The following is a 27261-nucleotide window of genomic DNA, read 5'->3' on the forward strand; positions in this document are numbered from 1 at the left end:
TTATCATTTTCTTATTGCTTTTAGGTCAAGGGACCAATAAGTTTAAAAACAGTCTCTTTTTTCACCATATGGGCCAGTAGAACAGACTACATAATTTGTGAGGTCTCATGCAAAATGAAAAGGGGAAGTCCCTTGCTCAAAAAATATTAAGGATCCCAAGATGACAGCAGAGTATTAAACCGAGTATGGGCCCTATGAGATTGCACAGGTCACACTCACTATCCTGGCCCTTTAGGCAGGGTTTTGTTAGAGCTAGATTTTTGAAAACCTGCAAAAGAAACGCGGGCTTTAATGATCAGGATTCTACTTTCATGTTTTCTCATGTCCATGATGAATCTATGTTGCAAAGGTTTGAAGATTGTAAAAATGAACACAAATTAAATCATAAATTACATCAACTACATAACTGCTTTTTCTGGATCCAAGTTGACATTTTGGTTATATGAATCTCCATCTAGTTACAATTATTTATTGGGACATTATCCCATCCAATTATTTTAATAATTGAAGACCAAAATTCTCACTGGTGTGATCTTTTTTAGGACATTTATTTATCATATAAATAAGCACTACTTAAAGGGAAAAATCAGTTAAAGATGCTCATTCATTCCACAAAAATTTATTAAAAATTTATATATGCAAATTATGGGGCTTTTTTTTTAGGCATTATAAGACAAGAAAGAAGGCTAATTTACCAGAAATCAACTTTCCTGAAGCTAATTGGTCCAATGATCATTTTGCTGAATGACTAATGTGCTAAATTTGCCAACTTAGATGACTGTAGTTTAATAGTATTTACTAGCTTTAATATGATTGTTTAATGTGAGTGACTAATGGTGATACATACAGAAAAACATTATATATATGTATAATATTGAATACATATGTACGTATATAATATGTATACCTAATACATACTTTATATATATTTTACTTATTCTAAGAAGACTAAGTGTGAAAGAAAGTGAAGCTATCTGAAAGAAACTAGTATAATAAACCATGCAATTAGTATGTGTTAAGTAGAAAAATAAAATAGGACACAATAGAAGTAACCAAATTATATTTTGGATGTTGCATGCCATTTGCTGGTTGATATACTATCTAAAAATTTGGTGAAAAAAATCTTTTAAAAGTTTGGCAAAACAGAAGTCAACATAAAAAATTTGAAGCACTTTATTGATACACTCAATACTTAAGAAAGTTTTCCTCTTTGTTATAAATTATATGAATTGTATCTGCAGGGAAGTCTGCCTAATTTAATGGTTTCTCATTAAAAATTACAACTTCAGTTTATAATATGGTAAGGATTCCCAACCCCCAGGCCGTGGACTGTTACCGTGGCGAAGTATATACTGTTACATACTTTACCTTTATAGGCACAATTTTCAGTAGCTGATGACATGGAGAGGGATTCCAAAAATTTATGAGATGAATATAACTAGATAGCAAAATTATTTACTTTTCTTTTTCAGTTCTTTTTTTCTTTCTTTCTTTTTTGGACACAAAGTCAGTCTCTGTCTCCCAAGCTGAAGTGCAGTGGCGCCATCATGGCTCAGTGCAGCTTCGACCTCTGGGACTCAAGTGATCTGCTCACCTCAGCCTCTTGAGTTTCTGGGACTACAGGAATGCACCACCATGCATGACTAATTTTTAAAAATTATTTACTTTTTAAATTTTTTATAGAGATGGGGGTCTCGCCTTGTTGCCCAGACTGAAAATTATTTTCTTAACCCCACTAGACAGATATAAACTCCTCAAGAATAAGGGCCTAACTTCACTTATTTTAGGATTCTTTCTTCTATTTCTTCTCTCTTCTTTCCCAACTAGAGTTGTCAGATTTAGTAAATAAAATTATGGAAAGCTGAGTTAAATTTGGATTTCAGATAAACTCTGAACAATTTTTAGCATATGTATGTTCTAAATCTTGCTTGGAAATACTTAAAACTGGAAAAAATAATTTGTTGCTTATTTTAATTTCAAATTTACCTGGGTGGCCTGTATTTTATCTGTCAACCTTACTCCCAACCTCTACCTTTCCTCCATCCCCCAGCAAGTACTTAGAACAGACCCTGGAACACAGATGGCCTTGTATGATAGATGAATGAGTAGGTGGACAGTGACCTTGAACAAGGAGTTTACTAAAACAGGCAACTCTTTCAAGAAGTTTAATAACAAGTAAACTAGAGAGTTTGCCTCAATTAAGAAGAAAAGAAAGGATTTTTGGTTTGTGTTTAGTTTTTTAGTAATGAATACTGTATATCTTTCTAGGAAAAGAGGAGAAAGGGGAAAGTGAAGTAATTAGAAGTGAGATAAGGGGGATATTGTTAGAATAATAATCAGTAAGATGGGAAGAGAAGAGTTTTCACAAAGAGTTCAAAGAGGGGATTGACCATGTCATGGAAGAAAAATACTTCTTCCCGAAAGAGAGGAACAAAAGGAAAGGAAGGAGGGAAGGAAGGAAGGAAGGGAGGGAATGAAAGAAAGAGAATTTAAAATTTTCTACTTATAAAAATTTTTAAACTAATAAAAAAGTGCAAAGGATCATACCTACACTTAAATTCAAACATTGTTTAAAATTTGCCAGATTTTTTTTCAGCAAAACCATTTTGAAGTAAATTCCAGACATAAAGACACTATGACCCCAAATACCTCATCATGCAATTCCATCACTTGAAAACACTCTTTGACTAAAGTATGATACCACTATTATACCTAATAAAATGAACGCTTCTATAATATCTTTCAATACTTGTTACTTAATCCATATTCACTTTCCCTAATTTGTTCTGCAAACGTCCTTCATAGCTTTATATTATTATTATTATTTTTTACAAACCAGGATCCAATAGAAGCTTATGCATTGCTATTTGGGTAATAATCTTTTAATATCTTTTAAAAACACATAACATTTTAAAATGTAGAAACTGCAAACTAGGTAGGTGGATCTTCTCATCTTTTTTTGTTGTTTGTTTTTGAGACGGAGTCTCACTATGTCGCCCAGGTTGGAGTGCAGGGGTGTGATCTCAGCTCACTGCAACCTCCGCCTCCCGGCTTCAAGCAATTCTCCTGCCTCAGCATCCCAAGTAGCTAGGATTACAAGGCATGCGCCACCCCACCAGGCTAATTTTTGTATTTTTAGTAGAGATGGTGTTTCACCATGTCAGCCAGTCTGGTCTCGAACTCTTGACCTCAAGCGATCCGCCCACCTCGGCCTCCCAAAGTGGTGGAATTACAGGCGTGAGCCGCTGTGCCCAGCCCCTTCTCACCTTTTAAAGAGTAGGGAGAGGTGGGCAATCAAGAGATCCTGAGGTTAAGATATTAAGAACAGTGAGAGGATTTGGAATTAGCCCCTGGGGAGCATTCAGTGGTGAATAATAAACTGCCTTCTCCAGGGAGGTCAGAGAAACTTGCGTTTCATTCGTCTGCTATCTGGCATCCCAGAAACAGGTCAGCAGTGCTGGACCTCCCTCCATGCCAACAGTAAGCCTTCGCCCTAAGTCTACTGATTGTCAATTAAAGAGAGAGCACAATCTCATATGAATGTGAAGGGGTAAACACGCGTGGGGTTTGTGTATTAGGTGGTCTTATAGGCCCACCTGGGGAGGATTAATGACCAAGGCAGACAGGCAGATGAAAGTACGCGGGGAAAGAGAGAAAAGAAAAGAAAAGAAAAAAAACAAAAAGAAAATAGAGAAGGAGACCTAGGGAGACCTCAATGACCATTGATTCCTTTCGCCAAAAGGAGTAAGGCCCTTCCACCTATGGGGACAGCCTTGGGAAGGCAGCACCCAGGTTTGAGTGTGGAGGTTTGATTATCACGGACTGGCTCGGGGCCGGCTTGGTTCTCCCGCGAAGGTTCCAGGGTGTGTGTGTGTGTGTGTGTCCGCGCGCGCATGCAAATCCCAGAGGAGCAGCCCGACAGCAGGGGCGGGGCAGGCCACGGGAGGGCGGCCCAGTTCCCCAGCTCTCCCGGGACGAAGCGGGCCCGCCAGCGAGTCGCAGTCCCAGGAGCCGAGCTCCAGCACTAGAGCCAGCTGCGAGCGGAGGGCACCAACTCCGCAGAACTGGCTTTTCAATGGGACACCTGTGGCTCCTGGGTATTTGGGGCCTCTGTGGGCTGCTCCTGTGTGCCGCGGATCCCAGCACAGGTAACCCTTTGGGCACGCTAGGCAGGCAAGCAGGAGAGGCCCGCGTAGACACTACCCCTGCTCCCGGGGTCCTGGGAGAGGCAGGACCACCTGGCACCTGGCTGAGGCTGTGGGTGCGGTTGCATGACGATCCTGGGGACCAGGGGAGCTGGATAGCAGGCCTAGCAAACAGAGACAGACGCAGAGAGAGAGAAACAGAGACAAGGACACAGAGAAAGAGATTGCGAGAGATTGCCTTTTAACTCATCAATGCTGCTACTTGAATGATGAAATCTCCCACCGGCACCCACAAAGTGACACAAGTAGACTGAAATTTGGCGGGGGAGTGGGGACTGGGAAGAGGCAACCTGAGTCCCTTTTCCTCCATTCTTCTTGGGTCGCTTTCCTCACAACAGAAAGGGCAACAACCCCCAGTAGGACGGGGATGGGACTTCGTGGCAGGTGTCAGTCATTTCCAGGGGCAGCTGCCCTGTGTTTTCAAAGTAATACCCAGAAGAGGGCTGGGAAGAGACTGATAAGATAAGAAATTGGAGTTGTCTGTGGAGATAACAGGAGGATGAACCTGAGATAGGCGAGGAGCAGCACTGTCTGGAGATAGGATCCAGCTTCCCCGCTGGAGTTTCCTACTCTTGGGCTGCCCTGAGATATGAATGTGCGGGAATAAGAACACCTTGGAGCTCTTGGCAAAGACAGACCCGAGGTACAGAGGCACTGGGTCTGGGGCCTCGGAACTGGTCTCCTTTATGTTGGAGAGCTTTTGCTACTATAGGTGAAGTCCACTCTAAACCTTTTTAAGACAGAACTGAACAAGCCAATCATAATTCCCTTAGCCTTTTTATATACATCCATTTTGAGAAATTAATAATTTCTGTGGCCTTTCTTTGTATCATCCCTTAAATTTTTCTACCTACTGTGAAAATTTCTTTTAGGATTCCAGCAATTACTAGATCTGTACAGTGTAAGCAGAAAATAAACACCTCTATCCACTGTGTAGCTTTGAGTTGTTTTAAAGAATTATTTGCAATACTCCAAAGAAGCAGCTCACACAATCCTGTTTGCCCGGGCAGTTCCCTCTATCTAGAACTATCTTTATCTTTCTGACAACTGGTCCAGTCTAATTCATATTTGTCCTTAAAAATGTGGAAGGGGCATGTCTTCTTTATAGAAGCCAGTGTGACACAAGCAGCGTGGGTGAAATGCTCCTTGAGGCACCCGTGGCCTCTATGCTCTCCTCTGTCTCTTGGTACTGTCTAACCTAAGCCTTTGGAAAGTTAGGACTGTTACACATTTATGTATCTCCAGGAAGCTAACACAGTTTGTTGAATGAATTAGTGACCTTTATATTAAGAACTCACTATCATCAGGAGGCTAGAAGAATCTCAGAAATTATCTTTCCTGAAGCCACACTCCCTCACAGAAAATAATTTCTTCTCAAAACCAACATTTCTCTTTGTACCTGGTCTAGTCTTTCAAACTACCTAGCATTGCATTTCTTCTGTGCTCTTATAATGACCTATTTCTTCTTGGTGTCTGCTGTTAGGTGAGCTGTTAAGCATAGTTATAGATCTGCAGTTAGCAGAGCACTACATGAAATTAAGGATTTAATACGTGTTTTATAATATGATAGGTAAGTGATGAAAATGATCACGTGTTATTTTTGCTCTTGGTAGCACCTAAGATAGTGCTTTGCACAAAGCCAGTGGGTATTAACTAAGTTAATGACTCTGTCAAGTCATTGGCAGAGCCAAAAATAAAACCTGGGTGAATTTTACTTTCAATCCTGTAAACTTCATAATGTTTTCCTTGCAACCTTGTGGTATGTGTTACAAATTTTGATGACTGAAATGAAGAACTTGGTGATTTTTACCTCTACTGTATTTTAATATTTTTCAGATGGCTCTCAAATAATCCCCAAAGTCACAGAAATAATACCTAAATATGGCAGTATAAATGGAGCAACAAGGCTGACTATAAGAGGGGAAGGTATCGTTGCTTTTTTTTTTTTTTTTTTGCCAAGGTTGAGGTATTTTCAAGCCTATTTCATATTTAGAGCTTTATGGACAAACAAACAAACAAGCACCACTGGAGTTATTTCTTCACTTGGCCAGAATAGTAAAACTCTGTCCTCTTTGATAGCTAGTGAAATCCCCAAGAGTCTTTATCAACCTGATCATCTGAATTCTTATTATACTGACTTGCTTAACATCAAGATCTGGATTAATGACTGAACTAAAAGGAATGCAATTAACCCAACTCAGCAATTATTTGCTTTATTCTTCATGAGTCTAATAACATTTAATTTATTTTAAGATCAAATAAAACATTTTGTGGGTGTTGGGTAGAATGTTGATAAGAAAGTATAATAGAGAAATAATATGTTAATGAAAGAGGAAAGGCAATAGAAAACAAAACTTTAGATTCCTTCTCCTGCCACCCAACCTCAGGCTTCATAAAGGCATGAGTACCGTACATGGTTCCCCTTCTCCTTGCCTGGTCTTAGGATGAAATGTAGAAGGCAATCAGTAAATATATTTAATGCACAGCTTTTCCTAGGTTTAAATAGAAATATGTGTTTCTTTCAGCCATAAGACCTTTGCAATATAAGTGATACCAGTATTCAGATACTTAGGAATTTTTGAACAATAAGAAACATTTAAAAATATTAGCAAAATCTATTATTTGGTCTTTAAGAAATGAAAAGTTTTCATAGCTAACAAAGATATTTAATTATTTTGTTATATAATGTAATGTCTTTTAATGTTTCTAATATTTCTGCAGAATTCAATCTCTCAATGATATGCTTAAAATGGTTTATACTTCTACATTATAAACAATATATTTTGGATTAAAGTGTTATTTTTTAGAGTTAAGACCCATGAACAATATAATTGTTAAAGATTATTTTATATTATTCATATATCTTTAACCATATGTTTCTTATATTGTAAATTGCTGATAAGATGGTATGCTTGAAAGTTACTGGGTTTTAAACAGAAATTTAAATGCCGCGAGAGAAATGCTCAGATTAAGAAAGAAGAAGGGCTAGGCGCGGTGGCTCAAGCCCGTAATTCCAGCACTTTGGGAGCCCAAGACCGGTGGATCACGAGGTCAGGAGATGGAGACAATTGTGGCCAACATGGTGAAACCCCGTCTCTACTAAAAATGCAAAAATTAGCTGGGCATGGTGGCGCGCGCCTGTAGTCTCAGCTACCCAGGAGCCTGAGGCAGAAGAATCGCTTGAACCCAGGAGGCAGAGGTTGCAGTGAGCCGAGATCGCGCCACTGTACTCCAGCCTGGCGACAGAGCGAGTCTCCATCTCAAAGAAGAAGAAGAAAAAAAGAAAACACCCAGCCATTTTCTTCTGTTTCCAGACCTGAACATTTTCTGATCTAGGAACTATGGCTTCAGTTTAAGCACATAGACCCAGATCATCCCTAGTTTGAAATAAAAAAACCAAAACATTCTATTCTTTGGAAAGGTATCCTTTTAAATCTAGCTAAAATGTAGTCTTTTCTTTTGTGTGGACGTTCTGAGGCAATTAGCCTGAGGACTCTTAATTATAAAGCCCAGAGTGTCATTTGGTAAATTTCTACTTTTCTCATCCGTCCCAGTTTCTGAATGTGTTTGGCATTGCAGATACTTAACAATTCCCGATTTCTCTTACAGTCCCTTGCCTTAACTACATTTTATAGATGACTAAAAACGTGTTCTCATATGTCTTTCTCAGAGGCTGAGTCTAAATACTGCCTTATAGAGGCAGAGAATAGAATAGCGGTCATTGAGAACTGGGAAAAGAGGAAGTGGAGGAGGGATATTGGTCAAAGGGTGCAAAATTTCAGTTATGCAAAATGAATAAATCCTAGAGATCTACTGTACAGCATAGAGCATATAGTTAACAAGACTGCATTGTATACCTAAATGTTTGCGAAGAGGGAAAATCTTGTTACATATTCTTATCAAAAAAATTTTTTAATAAATAGAGCAGGAGGAAACTTTTGGAAGCAAGGGGTCTGTTTATGACCATTCCTGTGGTTATGATTTTTTTTTTTTTTTTTTGAGACGGAGTTTCACTCTTGTCGTCCAGGCTGGAGTGCAGTGGCATGATCTTAGTTCACCACAACATCCACCTCCCAAGTTCAAGCAATTGTCCTGCCTCAGCCTCCTGAGTAGCTGGAATTACAGGTGCCTGCCACCACATCTGGCTAATTTTTTGTATTTTTAGTAGAGATGGGGTTTCACTATGTTGGCCAGGCTGGTCTTGAACTCCTGACTTCGTGATCTGCCCACCTCAGCCTCCCAAAGTGCTGGGATTACAGGCATGAGCCACTGCACCCTGCCGTGGTTATGGTTTTATGGGTATATACTTATATCCAAGCTCATAAAGTTGTATATATTAAATACATATAGCTTTTATATGTCAATCATAGCTCAATAAAGTGGTTTAAAATAAATTAATAAATGCTATTTTAATGTAGGCTTTTGGGTGCCCATAATATATACAGAATGATATCTACAAAATGATAATGAATTTGCAAAACACACCAGAGCTTCTATAGCTACATGAATGAACTTAATTTGGAGGGACTATATTCATGTACATCACCAGGGTGTCTCTGATAGATTCTCTGTTTTTAGAATTGCATGCAGTACTTATTTATCAATTACACAAGAACTACTTCTAAATGGAATTGTAAATTCTAGATGACTACCTATTGGCTTCATATTACTTTTTGAAATGTTTTATTTTTGTAAAAGTCATTATAAAACAGTAAAATATTATAGAAATACTTGACTTAGAAAGTGAGTTCTCTGAAATTCTACCCAGTAGAAAGATCTACTGTTAACATTTTCATGTATCCAAATGACTTTTGGCTATTTCCAAACATAGTATAGTATTGACTTGTAAACATTTGCCACAGCATTACTTTGTTTAAAAGGCTGTGGTTGGGCTGGGCACGTTGGTCCGTGCCTGTAATCCCAGTGCTTTGGGAAGCTAAGGCAGAAGGATCACTTGAGGCCAGGAGTTTGAGACTAGCCTGGGCAACCAGCCTGGGCAATATAGCAAGACCCTGTCTCTACAAATGAAACATTTAAAACATTAGTCCAGCATGATGGCCTGCCTGCCTGTAGTCCTAGCTACTTGGGAGGCTAAGGTGAGAGGATTCCTTGAGGCCAGGAGTTTAAGGCTGCAATGAGCTATGATTGTACCACTGCATTCCAGCCTGGGTGATGGAGTGAAACCCTGCTTTAAAAACAAAATAAAACCTCACAAGACTATGCTTCAGGAGATATAGATACATGATTTTACTCTTATGATACCCAGGCCAAAGTGTTTTGAACAATGGCATGATTGTAGAAATTATTATACCTCCCTCTGAGATGACTAATTTGATTAAGAGCATTATAATTTTGATAAGTTCTGGAGTGTTTGTAATTATATTGGCTTTGTTACTTTATAGTCATACCTTGTATTTCTCAATTGTTTTCTTTGATATTTATCATGTTGGTTTTTATTTTAAAAAATCAGTAAGATGGGAGAAATAACATTTTACTTTTGGCTCCTTTTTCTAGCTATTTCCCTTACAATTTCTGGCACACACATTTTTGTTGAAGTGTTGAATTATATACTTTTAATAATGTCACAGAAAGCATATGGACTTTGGTTCAGTCTGACTGGCTTTCAATTCACCTTTGCCATTTCATATCATGTGACTGGGGCAAGTTATTTCGCTGAGCCTTAGCTTACTCATCAGTAAAATGGACTATTAATTCCTACCTCTTGGGACTGTTGTGAATACTGAAAAGGATGATACACCTAAGGTACCCATTATAAATAGTATAAATTCTATCCATTAGAGCTATTTTTGTTTGTATTATTCTTTGCATTTATGTTATAGGTCTGGTTTAAATCTTTAGGAGTTGTCTTCCATCCATCACGCTGTATCTTTCTTTCCCATTGTTTTGAATGCTACAACTTTTAAGTAGGTGAATACACTTTCAACAGTGCTTTTTTAACTAGAGAAAACAAAACAGCCTGCATTCTTCATGACAAGTGCTGGCTTTAATAACACTGACATTTTCCATGATAGCAGCCCAGGCGTTCCTTTTGGATTGCTGCTATCAGGAGACCCAGGTTTGCGTGCCTGGCAATTCCTGTCTCCAGTTTTTCTGCAAAATTAAAAAAAATACATCAACATGTCAGGAATTTCCATCCGAAGCCTCATCCTTTTCCATTTCCAGGGTACACTCAGCCTTTCCTGTAATCTTTGTGACTTGGAGTACTTCCAGAGGTGGTGTTTTTATCTTCAATCATTTGTTTAGAATTACATATTTTTTTTTTTTTGAGATGGAGTTTCACTCTTGTTGCCCAGGCTGGAGGGCAATGGCACGATCTCGACTCACTGCAACCTCCGCCTCCTGGGTTCAAGAATTCTCCTGCCTCAGCCTCCCAAGTAGCAGGGTTTACAGGCACCTGCCACTACCCCCGGCTAATTTTTTGTATAGTAGAGACAGGGTTTCACCATCTTGGCCAGGTTGGTCTCAAACTCCTGACTTCAGGTGATAACACCAGTCTTGGCCTCCCAAAGTACTGGGATTACAGGCGTGAGCCACCGCACCTGGCCTAGAATTATACTTTTAAGTTAAAATTTTTAAAAAGAAGACTCCTTTGTATTTCTTTTTAACTCTTTGGAATTAGTTTAAAAGTCAGAAATATTTATATACTTGTTTTTTCAGCAATATTAATAATAACATTTATGAATTATTGTGGATTTGGTTCATTATTTTCCCATAGATTTTACTTCTAGGACTTTTTCACATATGCTATATATATTTGACATTATAGTAACTCCTAAGCTGAAAATGATATCATCTTTTGTTGGCATTATTTTTCAGAATGGTTGTTGTCTTGAGAATGCTGAAGAACAGATCCATGTTACGTATCATTGACATGACATGTACCTGATAGGAAAATATATATATATATATATACATATCTCACATCTGGAACCACACCACAAGTAAAACTTTCCATTCTTTAGTTGGTTGCCAGGAGCTCTTCTGTGTGTTCCAAACTCAATGTGAACACCAAAGATAAGCAAAGTTGACAAAAGGGAAGAGTGGGTTTACACGTAACTTGCTTTGCAGTGTTTTCATGTCTTTTCACAGTCCCATTTTAGTAATAACTGCCTTTCTAGATTCAAAATTGCAAAGTCAATGCAAATGTCTCTCACATGTGAAATTGGTATTTATATTGTACTTTAGTTTATGCCGGATGAGTTATTTGGTTAAGCTTAGAGGAATAAAATGATATTTATTAAAATCTCTACCCTTTATTGAGTTTCTGCTTACTTTTCCTACATACTAAAGAAAGAATAGCCTAGCAGCTAAGAACATAAGGGCTGGAGGAAGGCTACAGCCTGGGTTCGAATCCCGGCTACCCACTTACTGATTCTGTATTATTTTTATTTATTTTTATTTTTTTGAGATGGAGTCTCGCTCTGTCGCCCAGGCTGGAGTGCAATGGCGTGATCTTGGCTCACTGCAACCTCTGTCTCCCAGGTTCAAGTGATTCTCCTGCTTCAACCTCCCGAGTAGCTGGAATTACAGGGCACCACTGCATCTGGCTATTTTTTATATTTTTAGTAGAGACAGTTTCACCATGTTGGCCAGGCTGGTCTCGAATTCCTGACCTCAGGTGATCTGCCTGCCTTGGCTTCCTAAAGTGCTGGGATTGCAGGCGTGAGCCACCGCACCTGGCCTCTGTGTTATTTTTAAAAAGGGATATTAATGATGAACCTAAATCTCAGGATTTTTTCTTATATTTTATTTTATTTATTTTATTTTTTATTTTTTTAATTTTATTATTATTATACTTTAAGTTTTAGGGTACATGTGCACAACGTGCAGGTTTGTTACATATGTATACATGTGCCATGTTGGTGTGCTGCACCCATTAACTCGTCATTTAGCATTAGGTATATCTACTAATGCTATCCCTACCCCCTACCCCCAACCCACAACAGGCCCCAGTGTGTGATGTTCCCCTTCCTGTGTCCATGTGTTCTCATTGTTTAATTCCCACCTATGAGTGAGAACATGTGGTGTTTGGTTTTTTGTCCTCGCGATAGCTTGCTGAGAATGATGGTTTCCAGCTTCATCCATGTCCCCACAAAGGACATGAACTCATCAATTTTTATGGCTGCATAGTATTCCATGGTGTATATGTGCCACATTTTCTTAATCCAGTCTATCATTGTTGGACATTTGGGTTGGTTCCAAGTCTTTGCTATTGTGAATAGTGCCGCAATAAACATACGTGTGCATGTGTCTTTATAGGAGCATGATTTATAATCCTTTGGGTATATACCCAGTAATGGGATGGCTGGATCAAATTTCTAGTTCTAGATCCCTGAGGAATCGCCACACTGACTTCCGCAATGGTTGAACTAGTTTACACTCCCACCAACAGTGTAAAAGTGTTCCTATTTCTCCACATCCTCTCCAGCACCTGTTGTTTCCTGACTTTTTAATGATCGCCATTCTAACTGGTGTGAGACGGTATCTCATTGTGGTTTTGATTTGCATTTCTCTAATGGCCAGAGATGGTGAGCATTTTTTCATGTGTTTTTTGACTGCATGAATGTCTTCTTTTGAGAAGTGTCTGTTCATATCCTTTGCCCACTTTTTGATGGGGTTGTTTGTATTTTTCTTGTAAATTTGTTTGAGTTCATTGTAGATTCTGGATATTAGCCCTTTGTCAGATGAGTAGGTTGCGAAAATTTTCTCCCATTCTGTAGGTTGCCTGTTCACTCTGATGGTAGTTTCTTTTGCTGTGCAGAAGCTCTTTAGTTTAATTAGATCCCATTTGTCAATTTTGGCTTTTGTTGCCATTGCTTTTGGTGTTTTAGACATGAAGTCCTTGCCCATGCCTATGTCCTGAATGGTATTGCCTAGGTTTTCTTCTAGGGTTTTTATGGTTTTAGGTCTAACATGTAAGTCTTTAATCCATCTTGAATTAATTTTTGATAAGGTGTAAGGAAGGGATCCAGTTTCAGCTTTCTACATATGGCTAGCCAGTTTTCCCAGCACCATTTATTAAATAGGGAATCCTTTCCCCATTGCTTGTTTTTGTCAGGTTTTTCAAAGATCAGATAGTTGTAGATATGCGGCATTATTTCTGAGGTCTCTCTTCTGTTCCATTGGTCTATATCTCTGTTTTGGTACAAGTACCATGCTGTTTTGGTTACTGTAGCCTTGTAGTATAGTTTGAAGTCAGGTAGTGTGATGCCTCCAGCTTTGTTCTTTTGGCTTAGGATTGACTTGGCGATGCAGGCTCTTTTTTGGTTCCATATGAACTTCAAAGTAGTTTTTTCGAATTCTGTGAAGAAAGTCATTGGTAGCTTGATGGGGATGGCATTGAATCTATAAATTACCTTGGGCAGTATGGCCGTTTTCACAATATTGATTCTTCCTACCCATGAACATGGAATGTTCTTCCATTTGTTTGTATCCTCTTTTATTTCATTGAGCAGTGGTTTGTAGTTCTCCTTGAAGAGGCCCTTCACATCCCTTGAAATTTGGATTCCTGGGTATTTTATTCTCTTTGAAGCAATTGTGAATGGGAGTTCACTCAAGATTTGGCTCTCTGTTTGTCTGTTATTGGTGTATAACAATGCTTGTGATTTTTGCACATTGATTTTGTATCCTGAGACTTTGCTGAAGTTGCTTATCAGCTTAAGGAGATTTTGGGCTGAGACGACTGGGTTATCTAGATATACAATCTCGTCATCTGCAAACAGGGACAATTTGACTTCCTCTTTTCCTAATTGAATGCCCTTTATTTCCTTCTCCTGCCTGGTTGCCCTGGCCAGAACTTCCAACACTATATTGAATAGGAGTGGTGAGAGAGGGCATCCCTGTCTTGTGCCAGTTTTCAAAGGGAATGCTTCCAGTTTTTGTCCATTCAGTGTGATATTGGCTGTGGGTTTGTCACAGATAGCTCTTATTATTTTGAGATATGTCCCATCAATACCTAATTTATTGAGAGTTTTTAACATGAAGGGTTGTTGAATTTTGTCAAAGGCCTTTTCTGCATCTATTGAGATAATCATGTGGTTTTTGTCTTTGGTTCTGTTTATATGCTGGATTATGTTTATTGATTTGCATATATTGAACCAGCCTTGCATCCCAGGGATGAAGCCCACTTGATCATGGTGGATAAGCTTTTTGATGTGCTGCTGGATTTGGTTTGCCAGTATTTTATTGAGGATTTTTGCATCAATGTTCATCAAGGATATTGGTCTAAAATTTTCTTTTTTTGTTGCATCTCTGCCCAGCTTTGGTATCAGGATGATGCTGGCCTCATAAAATAAGTTAGGGATGATTCCCTCTTTTTCTATTGATTGGAATAATTTCAGAAGGAATGGTACCAGCTCCTCCTTGTCCTCTGGTAGAATTCGGCTGTGAATCCATCTGGTCCTGGACTTTTTTTGGTTGGTAAGCTATTAATTATTGCCTCAATTTCAGAGCCTGTTATTGGTCTATTCAGAGATTCAACTTCTTCCTGGTTTAGTCTTGGGAGGGTGTATGTGTCGAGGAATTTATCCATTTCTTCTAGATTTTCTAGTTTATTTGCATAGAGGTGTTTATAGTATTCTCTGATGGTAGTTTGTATTTCTGTGGGATCTGTGGTGATATCTCCTTTGTAATTTTTTATTGTGTCTATTTGATTCTTCTCTCTTTTCTTCTTTATTAGTCCTGCTAGCGGTCTATCAATTTTGTTGATCTTTTCAAAAAACCAGCTCCTGGATTCAGTGATTTTTTGAAGGGTTTTTTGTGTCTCTATTTCCTTCAGTTCTGCTCTGATCTTAGTTATTTCTTGCCTTCTGCTAGCTTTTGAATGTGTTTGCTCTTTCTTCTCTAGTTCTTTTAATTGTAATGTTAGGGTGTCAATTTTAGATCTTTCCTGCTTTCTCTTGCAGGCATTTAGTGTTACAAATTTCCCTCTACACACTGCTTTGAATGTGTCCCAGAGATTCTGGTATGTTGTGTCTTTGTCCTCGTTGGTTTCAAAGAACATCTTTATTTCTGCCTTCATTTTATTATGTCCCCAGTAGTCATTCAGGAGCAGGTTGTTCAGTTTCCATGTAGTTGAGTGGTTTTGAGTGAGTTTCTTAATCCTGAGTCCTAGTTTGATTGCAGTGTGGTCTGAGACAGTTTTTTATAATTTCTATTCTTTTACATTTGCTGAGGAGTGCTTTACTTCCAACAATGTGGTCAATTTTGGAATAGGTGTGGTGTGGTGCTGAAAAAAATGTATATTCTGTTGATTCGTGGTGGAGAGTTCTGTAGATGTCTATTAGGTCCGCTTGGTGCAGAGCTGAGTTCAATTCCTGGATATCCTTGTTAACTTTCTGTCTCGTTGATCTGTCTAATGTTGACAGTGGGGTGTTAGACTCCCATTATTATTGTGTGGGAGTCTAAGTCTCTCTTTAGGTCTCTCAGGACTTGATTTATGAATCTGGGTGCTCCTGTACTGGGCGCATATATATTTAGGATAGTTAGCTCTTCTTGTTGAATTGATCCCTTTACCATTATGTAATGGCCTTCTTTGTCTCTTTTGATCTTTGTTGGTTTAAAGTCTGTTTTATCTGAGACTAGGATTGCAATCTCTGCCTTTTTTGTTTTCCATTTGCTTGGTAGATCGTCCTCCATCCCTTTATTTTGAGCCTATGTGTGTCTCTGCACATGAGATGGGTTTCCTGAATACAGCACACTGATGGGTCTTGACTCTTTATCCAATTTGCCAGTCTGTGTCTTTTAATTGGAGCATTTAGCCAATTTACATTTAAGGTTTATATTGTTATGTGTGAATTTGATCCTGTCATTATGACGTTAGCTGGTGATTTTGCTGGTTAGTTGATGCAGTTTCTTCCTAGCCTTGATGGTCTTTACAATTTGGCATGTTTTTACAGTGGCTGGTATTGGTTGTTCCTTTCCATGTTTAGTGCTTCCTTCAGGAGCTCTTTTAGGGCAGGCCTGGTGGTGACAAAATCTCTCAGCATTTGCTTGTCTGTAAAGTATTTTATTTCTCCTTCACTTATGAAGCTTAGTTTGGCTGGATATGAAATTCTGGGTTGAAAATTCTTTTCTTTAAGAATGTTGAATATTGGCCCCCACTCTCTTCTGGCTTGTAGAGTTTCTGCCGAGAGATCAGCTGTTAGTCTGATGGGCTTCCCTTTGTGGGTAACCCGATCTTTCTCTCTAGCTGCCCTTAACATTTTTTCCTTCATTTCAACTTTGGTGAATCTGACAATTATGTGTCTTGGAGTTGCTCTTCTTGAGGAGTATCTTTGTGGCCTTCTCTGTATTTTCTGAATCTGAATGTTGGCCTGCCTTGCTAGATTGGGGAAGTTCTCCTGGATAATATCCTGCAGAGCGTTTTCCAACTTGGTTCCATTCTCCCAGTCACTTTCAGGTACACCAATTAGACGTAGATTTGGTCTTTTCACATAGTCCCATATTTCTTGGAGGCTTTGTTCATTTCTTTTTATTCTTTTTTCTCTAAACTTCTCTTCACGCTTCATTTCATTCATTTCATCTTCCATCGCTGATACCCTATCTTCCAGTTGATCGCATCAGCTACTGAGGCTTGTGCATTTGTCACGTAGTTCTTGTGCCATGGTTTTCAGCTCCATCAGGTCCTTTAAGGACTTCTCTGCATTGGTTATTCTAGTTAGCCATTCGTCTAATTTTTTTTCAAGGTTTTTAACTTCTTTGCCATTGGTTCGAACTTCCTCCTTTAGCTCGGAGTGGTTTGATCTTCTGAAGCCTTCTTCTCTCAACTCGTCAAAGTCATTCTCTGTCCAGCTTTGTTCCGTTGCTGGTGAGGAGCTGTGTTCCTTTGGAGGAGGAGAGGTGCTCTGATTTTTAGAGTTTCCAGTTTTTCTGCTCTGTTTTTTCCCCATCTTTGTGGTTTTATCTACCTTTGGTCTTTGATGATGGTGACGTACAGATGGGTTTTTGGTGTGGATGTCCTTTCTGTTTGTTAGTTTTCCTTCTAACAGTCAGGACCCTCAGCTACAGGTCTGTTGGCATTTGCTGGAGGTCCACTCCAGACCCTGTTTGCTTAGGTATCAGCAGCGGTGGCTGCAGAACAGTGGATATTTGTGAACCGCAGATGCTGCTGCCTGATCGTTCCTCTGGAAGTTTTGTCTCAGAGGAGTACCCAGCCATGTGAGGTGTCAGTCCGCCCCTACTGGGGGATGCCTCCCAGTTAGGCTACTCAGGGGTCATGGACCCACTTGAGGAGGCAGTCTGCCCATTCTCTGATCTCAAGCTGCATGCTGGGAGAACCACTACTCTCTTCAAAGCTGTCAGACAGGGACATTTAAGTCTGCAGAGGTTACTGCTGCCTTTTGTTTGTCTGTGCCCTGCCCCCAAAGGTGGAGCCTACAGAGGCAGGCAGGCCTCCTTGAGCTGTGGTGGGCTCCACCCAGTTCGAGCTTCCTGGCCACTTTGTTTACCTAAGCAAGCTTGGGCATTGGTGGGTGCCCCTCCCCCAGCCTCGCTGCCGCCTTGCAGTTTGATCTCAGACTGCTGTGCTAGCAATGAGCAAGGCTCAGTGGTGTAGGACCCTCCGAGCCATGTGCAGGATATAATCTCCTGGTGTGCCATTTGTTAAGCCCGTTGGCAAAGCACAGTATTAGGGTGGGAGTGACCTGATTTTCCAGGTGCCGTCTGTCACCCCTTTCTTTGACTAGGAAAGGGAATTCCCTGACCTCTTGTGCTTCCCGGGTGAGGTGATGCCTCGCCCTGCTTCGGCTCACTCACAGTGCGCTGCACCCACTGTCCTGCACCCACTGTCCGGCACTCCCCAGTGAGATGAACCCGGTACCTCAGTTGGAAATGCAGAAATCACACGTCTTCTGCATCGCTCATGCTGGGAGCTGTAGACTGGAGCCGTTCCTATTAGGCCGTCTTGACTCCACCCCCCAAATCTCAGGATTTTTGTGACAAATAATAAGAGCAGGTGTCTACTGAGATCTTAGCAGATATCTGATTAAGTCAGGTACCACGTTAAACATTATACAACAATGATCCTTTATTATTCCTAACTATCCATTAAGATAGATTATGGCCATTTTTCTGATGAGGAGACTAGGGTAAGAGGGGTTATATCTTGCCCAAGGTCATAATGGCAAGGGAGTGTTAGAGCTGGGATTCCAGGCCAGAATGTCAAGGTCCAAAGCCTGGGCCTTTTCAATTAAACATCACTGGCACCTGCCACGTAGCTTTACCAGAACTGGAGGTGAGAGGCTTTGATATCTGATGAACATCAGGCACAATGAAGTCCTGCTTCCAGGCCTACAAGAAACCACAAGTATTCATGTTGTCTAGCAGACCTTTGTGGAACACCGAAAATGCGTAATAATTTAAAAAGCAGTTGTACCACAGATATCTTCTGGCAACCCCAATTCTGCCACTTCAAGTATTATTTAAGGTGAGCACATATTGTAGTAATGATTGCTTTGTTGAAACATTTTGAAAACTGCTAACATTGTAAGGTAAGTAACAAATACTTATCTTTTTATAATGTTAGTATTATAAATGGAATATATTATAGCACTATTTGTCACATTGTAAATAGTATTATATACAACATTTAAAGAGTTAAATCTACATCTCTGGGTTTACCTTTTTTTGTTTACTGATGTTATGTTTATTATTGTATTATGGGATAATATGGTCTGTAGGTAATTAAATTCTGAAATTTAAATAGCTTATAAATTTACAATGACATGGATACAAATTTGCTAGTGCAAAAGAAAAATTTTCATAGTTTCAAATATAATACTACCGGTTAATTTGCCTAAAGTAGAGTTTTACTGTTAAGAACCTGTGATAGAGAAAAATAATATTTAAAAATTCACATACTGTTAGAATTCAGAATTTAGGAATTTTAGATATTGAAGTAATCTGGGCAAAAGCTGTTTATTTCCTCGTTCAACTTTATTCCAAAGCAGTAAAATATATAAAATTCCATAGATGTGTGTAATTTACTTTGTGAACTAGAACAGTATAAGTACCTTTTTAACATTTTTATTAGGAGAACATTTAATTATAGGATTTAATTAATGGAACACTAATCTTATTCATAGGTTTTATTTCTTGGGTTTATTCCAAAAGTGAATATTGTTTCAAAAATATAAAATATTCTTATATGGCATACAAGGCTTAATCTATATTTAATTACTTCCAAATGTAGTTTTGAATTTTCATATGTTTATAGAAAGATTAAAGTAATTTTTGTCTCTGTTTTGCATTACCCTTTTGTCTCTTTCTGTTAGATATCCCGTCAGCATGCAAATATACTGTTATTCTGCCCATCTGAAAAAAAGTAAAAGAAAAATCATCAGCCTTCCCCTTGCTCCACACACCTTTCTAGCTACCAACACATTTCTCTGCTCCTGTTTGTAATTAAACTCCAAAAAATGTTAGCAATATTTGTTCTTTTCACTTTACTGTCCTCTGATCTTCTCTTGAACTGATGCCATTTATCCCATTATTTATCCCATTTTTCACTGAGATAATGTCTTCACTCCTGCCCCTATTCTATTCTCAGAACAGCAGCTAGTGAATCTTAGACAGTGTGAGTCACATGATGTCACTCCTCGTTTGAAAGCCTGCAATTACTCCCCACACTTAAAAATAACCTAAGTGCCTTCATTTCTGGTCTCCTCTCCTACCATTTCTCTTCACCCATACTTCTTCAACCACACTTGCTATTATTTGAATCCACAAACATGGTCCCACCACAGGGCCTTGGCACATCCTATTTCTTCTACTAAAAATGCACTTCCCATAGATATCCTCATGGCTTGCTACCTCTGAAAAACTTCCATGACTGTCTATAATACATACATCCTGTGTCCCACTTCACATCTTCATGGTATCACCTCTGACTTCAGTCATAAATGCTGCAAAGTGGCCCTAAGGCTCTTAAGTCACTTCTCACTATCAGCCTCTCTGGTAGGCAGAGCCATGATCAGTATACACAGTTGCTAACTTTGTAGGCAGGAAAAGTGGTTTGTAGTAAGAATGTACATGGGCTTCTGGGCAGTCGAAGAGGACTTCACTAGTTGGTTAGGAACTGAAGGGAACATGATTGGAATCCAGAAATTAGAATGTCTTAGAGAGAGGCATATGAAGGGACTCATAATAGTGAGCATAAAGCATGCAGATCTATGTGTCTCAACTTAACTTCCGCAAGAGAACATCCCCCACAGAGGAGATGGAATAAACAGATGGATTGGATGATTCGTCCAGGAGCTTCTCTCTGTGGCCACCGCAGTGCTAGCGCATTGGGCCCATGAAGAATGGCCATGGGGTGGAGGCCATGCATGAGCCAACAACATGGACTCCCTTTCACCCAGACTAAACAACCTACTGCTATTGCTGAATACCGGAACTGCCAAGAGCAGAGACCAACACTGAGCTCTCAATAGGCTACCACTCCTCAAAAAGTCCACCCAGCTTCTCAGTGACAAGTTGATTACAGCACTTTCCTTCTCCCATGGAAAGAACAGAGATCGACTGCTACCGGAACTGACCCTCCAATTATGGGCTTTGCTTCCTCTTTCTACAGTTCTCTGTCAGCACCATCTTCTGAGAGCTTAGAGAGCCTGATATACTGCCATAGAATTCCATAAAATATTGCTTCAGAACAAGAAATGTATTTTATAGTGAAAAAGTTCCGATAATGGGCACATGACCATGAAATCTGTCACTCAGAAACATGTAGCTTAGTAGAATGATGGAACTGCCTGTTAAAGCTATGGCCAAGATGTGAACTTGGGGAAAAACATCCTGTGGGGTGGGACCCTGGTATCCTCCATAACATGCATTGAACCAGTGGCAGACATATGCTGTTGTTTTGTAATAGACAGATGCATGGAGCTGGATATAAAGGGCTGCTTCCCTTCACCATCACTCCCTGTTATCCAGAAATTGAATTTGTGCTTTCTGCCTTTGCAACCTTACATTCTGCTGGATTTGTGGTCTTAGTTTCCAGGTAGAAAATGCTCCCATCATGGGTCGCAATATAGATTCCACTGAACTGAAACTACCACCATGGTCTACTCAGTTTGAATTCATCAAACATATTTAGTATATGACTAGAGATAATCAGTTCTAATTATCATAAAGAAATAGGGTTGCTTTAACTTAATGTAGTTAAGGAGGAGCTGGTCTGGAATTCAGGGTATTCATAGGGATATCTCTTGGCTTCATGTCCAGTGATTACTGAGAACAGGCAATTGCAGCAACCACCACCTAACAAGAGCAAGGCAGTTAGGGGCTCAGATTTCTCCAGGATGAACATTAGTGTCACCCTATTAGCTACAGTGCTGGCTGCAGGTAAGGGAAATCTACAATGGCTGATAGCAAGGGGGCATGGTGAAAATTAATTATAGTTTTAGGACTAATTATAGAGTAGTATAGCCTGTAGCTTGTCCCTCTAACCCTCTTGTATTAAATCTTAGCAGAGATCTCAGCTGGCTACCTCTAACACTCTTGTATTAAATCTTAGTAGAGCTCTCAGCTGGCTACCACCTCAAAAACTTGGTGATGGATTGTGCTTAATATGTAGGCCATGAGTAGCTATGTGTTGTATAGTGGGTAGACTGTATCAGATGCCTTTTATATTCAGCTTTACATCCTCTCTTTCTTACCTCTAACTCTAGTTAGAGCTGTGGCAAATAGTTCCTTGTGTACTTTGACTCAACTTATGCTTCCAGCTTCTTGACTGAGTTCTAACACCATGTCTTTGTCAGTTATTCAAGGACTTGTCTAGTGCAGTAACTCCGAACTTTGGAACTTATATAGCATATACCTATGTGCAGTGTGAAAGTGCAGAAAAAGTTACTTCCCCCAGGGAGAACCCTCAACCAATGGGGACCAGATTTGATGAATAAATGCTTCTTGCCATTGATTTTTTGATTTGGAAAGACATGCTATATTTTCCTTAGAAATTCCCAGCAATATTGAGCCCCAGTTGTCCTCAGTGGTACCCAGCTTTTCTTTCCTCACATTTTGCTCTCTCTCATACCTAAAATAGCTCATTGCCCAAATAAATTATGTGCTGGCAAATCCTTACCTCAGATTTTGCTTTGTAGAAACTTGAAACAAAGACCTCATCCTTTATAAGATAGTGTTCTCCTCCTCTATTCTTTTTAGTCCTCTTAGCCTACCTTTTTCATGGTACTTATCACCTCCAGATATAGAATCTGGTGCTATGTAGGCTCACAGTAGGCTCTCTGTAACTTCGAGCCTGTCATCCACGAATCTAACCAACTGCGAATGGGAAATACAGTATTCACCAGATGTGGAATCGGGATACTTGTCCTGCAGGGCTGACTACAGGACTTGAACATTTGTGGATTTTGTTATCCAAGGGGATGGTGGAACAAATCCCCATGAATACTAAGAGATGACTGTATCTACCCTCCAGCAATACTTTTATGAGTAAATGAATTAAAGGCTAAATTTTGTGCTTCCAAAGAAGATTACAATCATAAGGATAAATATGAAATAGGTTCACTGCTTCAGTAATGTTTATGAAATCATTTACTGCATGATTTGATACTAGGTGACAAATGTTAGGTCTCTGAAGATAGAATACCATTAATAATAATTAAGTCTTCTTACTTTTCCAGGTTTTTCTCAAGCAAACCAGTTTAACTATGGAGTTGATAACGCTGAGTTGGGAAACAGTGTGCAATTAATTTCTTCTTTCCAGTCAATTACTTGTGATGTAGAAAAAGATGCAAGTCATTCAACTCAAATTACATGCTATACTAGGTCTGTTTTAAAGTATCTTTAATAAAATCATTTTCATCATATCAGAAGTTACAGTTATGAATATTAGTATTATAATAGTTTTATTACCCTGGCTATTATAAATAATATTTTTCTGATTATAGGTTAGTATTTTTCATTTTGTGATGTTTAGACTATTTTATGCATTTATTATATTCAATTTTAATTGGCATGATAACAACATATTCTATGTCTTTTCCCATGTTATTAGAGCTATTACCTTATTGTTGAGCATTTTTAGAAGATAAATGACTATTTAATTGTAATGATGTGCCTTAAAATACCAAAATTATGCTATTTTGTTCAATTTGATGAATTTTGTTCAAAATATTCATATAGTCATTAAGATTAAATATAATCATTTTGCATAGTGACATTTCAAGTTCTTTACTATCAGCCCAAATTCATGTATGTTATTAGCAACTTAGGAAAAATTTTAAAAATCACTTTAAATTGCAACTTTCAATATTGAACTTAGAAACAGATAGCACATATTCTAGAGGATTTCATTTATCTTAGGCCTGTCGGCTGTTCTTCACCAGGAAAAGCTTACTAAGGGGAAACTTGATTAACTAGTCCTTTTTAGGAAACAAAGCATGGAATAACTGATTGTACCGAGGTGATATGTTACTATTTTAAATGTTTATTATTGCATTTGTTGTTATTATACTTGTTGTCCTTTTTAATACCAATGTGCACAGTCGGAATATGCATTTGCCTGAAGTTCATGAGGTTAGAGTTTGCAATAAAGAGTTCAGGATGGAGATCATTTTTCCATAATATAGAATGGAACTTAACTAGACATCAGTTACGACGTTGGACACTTTCTGTCAAAAATAGCCTGCAGTCTGGGGCAGTATTTTTCATTAATACTATACACTAAATAAGAGAGGAATTGCATGTCTCATATATTCTTCATTTTCTTTATAGAGCAATGCCGGAAGATTCCTACACTGTTAGAGTCAGTGTGGACGGGGTTCCTGTTACGGAAAATAACACCTGCAAAGGTCACATCAACAGCTGGGAATGTACCTTCAACGTATGTAGGAATCTTCTCTTCAGTTTATGTATAGTTGATCTTGCTTTCTTTCCTGCAGAACTGAATTTTTCCTTTTTAGTTTTATAGACTATTTCCACATTTAAAAATACATTAGCATGTAACAAAGGATAATTTCCCTCAATTTAAATTATCTTCCATAGTAATTTAATGTCTGTTATTTCTGATTTGTTTCCCCTCCTTTAATTTTACTATTAAATTAAACTTTTGTACTTCAAACATGTTTTCTTGTTCATATTTTCCCCTTTATCTCTACTTCTACTCTTAGTGTGATTCTCCCTTTTCCTATTTTAATCGAAGTAACTACCTTTCCTTTCTACGTAATTTCTAACGTAATGAGATAAAATGTGCCTGCATGTGGTGTAAGAGCCACTCAAAATTTAGCTGCCCTAAATAGAAGTATTAGCAGTAATACATTTTCTTCTAAGCATTATCCCATATATATATAATTAAATTAGTTATATATATAAATAATTATATTTTATATATAAATAGTTATTATATATAATATATAAATAGTTATATATAATATATAGTTATATATATTATTGTATATATTATATATATTTATATATAATATATACAATAATATATATAATTATATATAATTATATATTATATAATATAATTATATATTATATATAGTTATATATAACATATATAATAGATAATTATATAATATATAATAGAATTATATATTATGTATAATTATACAATTATACATAATATATAATTAATATTATATATAATATATATTTTATATTATATATTATAATATATTATATAGTATGTATATTATATATTATATATTACGTATAATTATATATTATATATAATATATAATATATAAATATATTATAAGTATATATAATATATAAATATATATAAAACTATTTTTATATAAATATTTATATATAAATAGTTTATATATATTAGTTTTAAGTTGTCAATTACTGAGTAGTACAATGTTCTAATATAAGATGAAATACTGAAGAAAACAATAATGACATCTGTCTTCAAGAAGCTTCTATGATTCCAAAATATATTGCCAAATACGATTCCCAGATATCTCTGGCTTTCTTCTGTTTCCCCAGACGTGGAACTCTGTTTGGTTTTCTGGTATGTCACACCTAAATGGTCTTAAAGCGACCTAAATTGAGCATCAAACTGCAGTTTTTGTATTCCTCCTTAAATCTACTTTTTCTCTGATTATTTCTCACCATCTCAAGTTAGAAACCTGTTACCATTCTTGGTTTCTCTCTCCCTTCTCTTTCAGCCCCACAGCTATTAAGAAGCAAAACCACGATGATCCTATCCTCTAATTTAACTCTTAGGTTCATCTTATTTAAATATCTTCTTTCCTACATGACAGTTACATTATGAATATTGTTGAAATTTAGTAATGTAAGAAATTATCTATTTCACAAAACTAGAAACAAAACAGAGATAAGTTTTCATATTGACATTATTCTTTTTACAGGCAAAAAGTTTTAGAACCCCAACAATAAGAAGCATCACACCTTTATCTGGAACTCCAGGTCTGTTATATGACATCTGAAATAACTTTTGGTTTCATGGTAAATAATGTGTTTATTTTTTAGTATATGAAATTAGTATAATTCCTGCAATTTTTAAATAGCATTTTTTTCATTATAAAAATAACTATCAGCCAGGCGCGGTGGCTCATGCCTGCAATCTCAGCATTTGGGGAGGCCAAAATGCAAGAATTCCTCGAGCCCAAGAGTTTGAGACCAGCCTGGGCAACATCATGAGACCCTCTCTCTAAAAAATAAAAATAAATAAATTAGCCAGGCTTGGTGGCAAGCACCTTTAGTCCCAGCTACTCCGGAGGCTGAGGCGAGAGGATCACTTGAGCCCAGGAGTGTGAGGCTGCAGTGAGACATGATTGAACTTACATGACAGAGCAAGATCCTATCTGAAAAAAAAGAAAAAAGTACCAATATTTTAAAAAATTGATTTTCAATGGCTATATCTTCATCTACTATAATGTATTTATCACCTCCCACCCCCACCACTTATACATTCAACTGGTTTCCAGGGTTTCATTATAATAACTATATTATTCCAGTTTATAATCCCAATGGCAATAACAGAGAATGTATAACCTTGACAATTCTAGGTACTATTTTTTCAAGAATTAATATACAAGATACAGTAGTTTTAAATTTTTTTCCAACTCTTTAATTTATGTAATTAAACTTATTTTTTGCCTATTGACCATTTGTATTCCTTCTTTTATACATTACCTGTTTATCTCTTTGGCTTAATTTAAAGTTATTCACCATTTTTCTTATTAAGTTACAAGGATTCTTTATATATCCTTAAAAAAGGATATTAACCATTTATATGTTATATGTAAGACATATATTTTGAATTTATCATTTACTTTTAAAACATGTTAATGATTTTTCTGTCATCAGACAACCTTTTATTTTTATTATCACATCTATAGATCTTAACGTTTGTTGTTTTTTCTTCATTTTTAAATAGCATTTAAAAATGGGTGGGAGGCCCTACTAACCTAACTATATAAATATTATATAAATTTTCACCTATTTTTCAATAATTGTTATGGTTTTATTTTTTATATTTCATTTTTATTTCACCTAAGATTTCTCTTACTTTTTGGTACAGAGATCTTTTTTTTTTTTTTCTCAAATAGTCACCGATTGACCCAAGCTGTACTTGTGGAATACCATCCTGTCTTCTATGCTACACTTCTTTACTCAATGAATATTTACAGATACTCATTCATATTTTATTGTGTTTGCTAGAACTTTCAGAACAATGCTAAACAATAGTGGCAAACATGAGGTATAAGTGTCTGGGTCCTGGTTTTATTGGGAAAATCTCTTATGTTTTCGTATTAAGTGTATGGATAGATTTTCTTACACAGAATCTTTTTGGGGTTTTTGTTTGTTTTCAGGTACACTAATAACAATCCAAGGCAGAATCTTCACTGATGTCTATGGAAGTAATATTGCACTAAGCTCAAATGGGAAAAATGTTAGGATTTTGAGGTAATCTTTTGATGTGGAAATATATTCTTATAACTCATAAATGAGAAGTAATATTATAAAAATAATGGGTCCAATGATATTAAATCCCATTACAATGTAATATAACTAACCAGTGTTTTTTTTTTCAGCCATATTA

At 37.6% G+C, this 27261-nt stretch overlaps 1 protein-coding gene across 5 annotated transcripts in view; it reads left to right on the forward strand.

Annotated features, from left to right (window-relative positions):
- The first annotated feature begins 3955 nt into the window (after nt 1–3955).
- The window catches only part of PKHD1L1 (PKHD1 like 1), a 174747-nt gene continuing 151441 nt past the window's right edge, over nt 3956–27261 (forward strand). For all 5 annotated transcript variants that reach the window (NM_177531.6, XM_011517371.3, XM_017013971.2 and 2 more), the window contains exons 1-6: nt 3956–4148; nt 6042–6131; nt 22865–23009; nt 23958–24066; nt 25565–25622; nt 27032–27125. In NM_177531.6, the coding sequence (NP_803875.2) occupies nt 4076–4148; nt 6042–6131; nt 22865–23009; nt 23958–24066; nt 25565–25622; nt 27032–27125 (569 nt within the window). In that variant the 5' untranslated portion in view covers nt 3956–4075. The remainder of the gene's footprint in view (nt 4149–6041; nt 6132–22864; nt 23010–23957; nt 24067–25564; nt 25623–27031; nt 27126–27261) is intronic.

The sequence above is a fragment of the Homo sapiens genome, chromosome 8 (genome assembly GCF_000001405.40).
Source record: "Homo sapiens chromosome 8, GRCh38.p14 Primary Assembly".
In the NCBI taxonomy this organism is placed as follows: domain Eukaryota; kingdom Metazoa; phylum Chordata; class Mammalia; order Primates; family Hominidae; genus Homo; species Homo sapiens.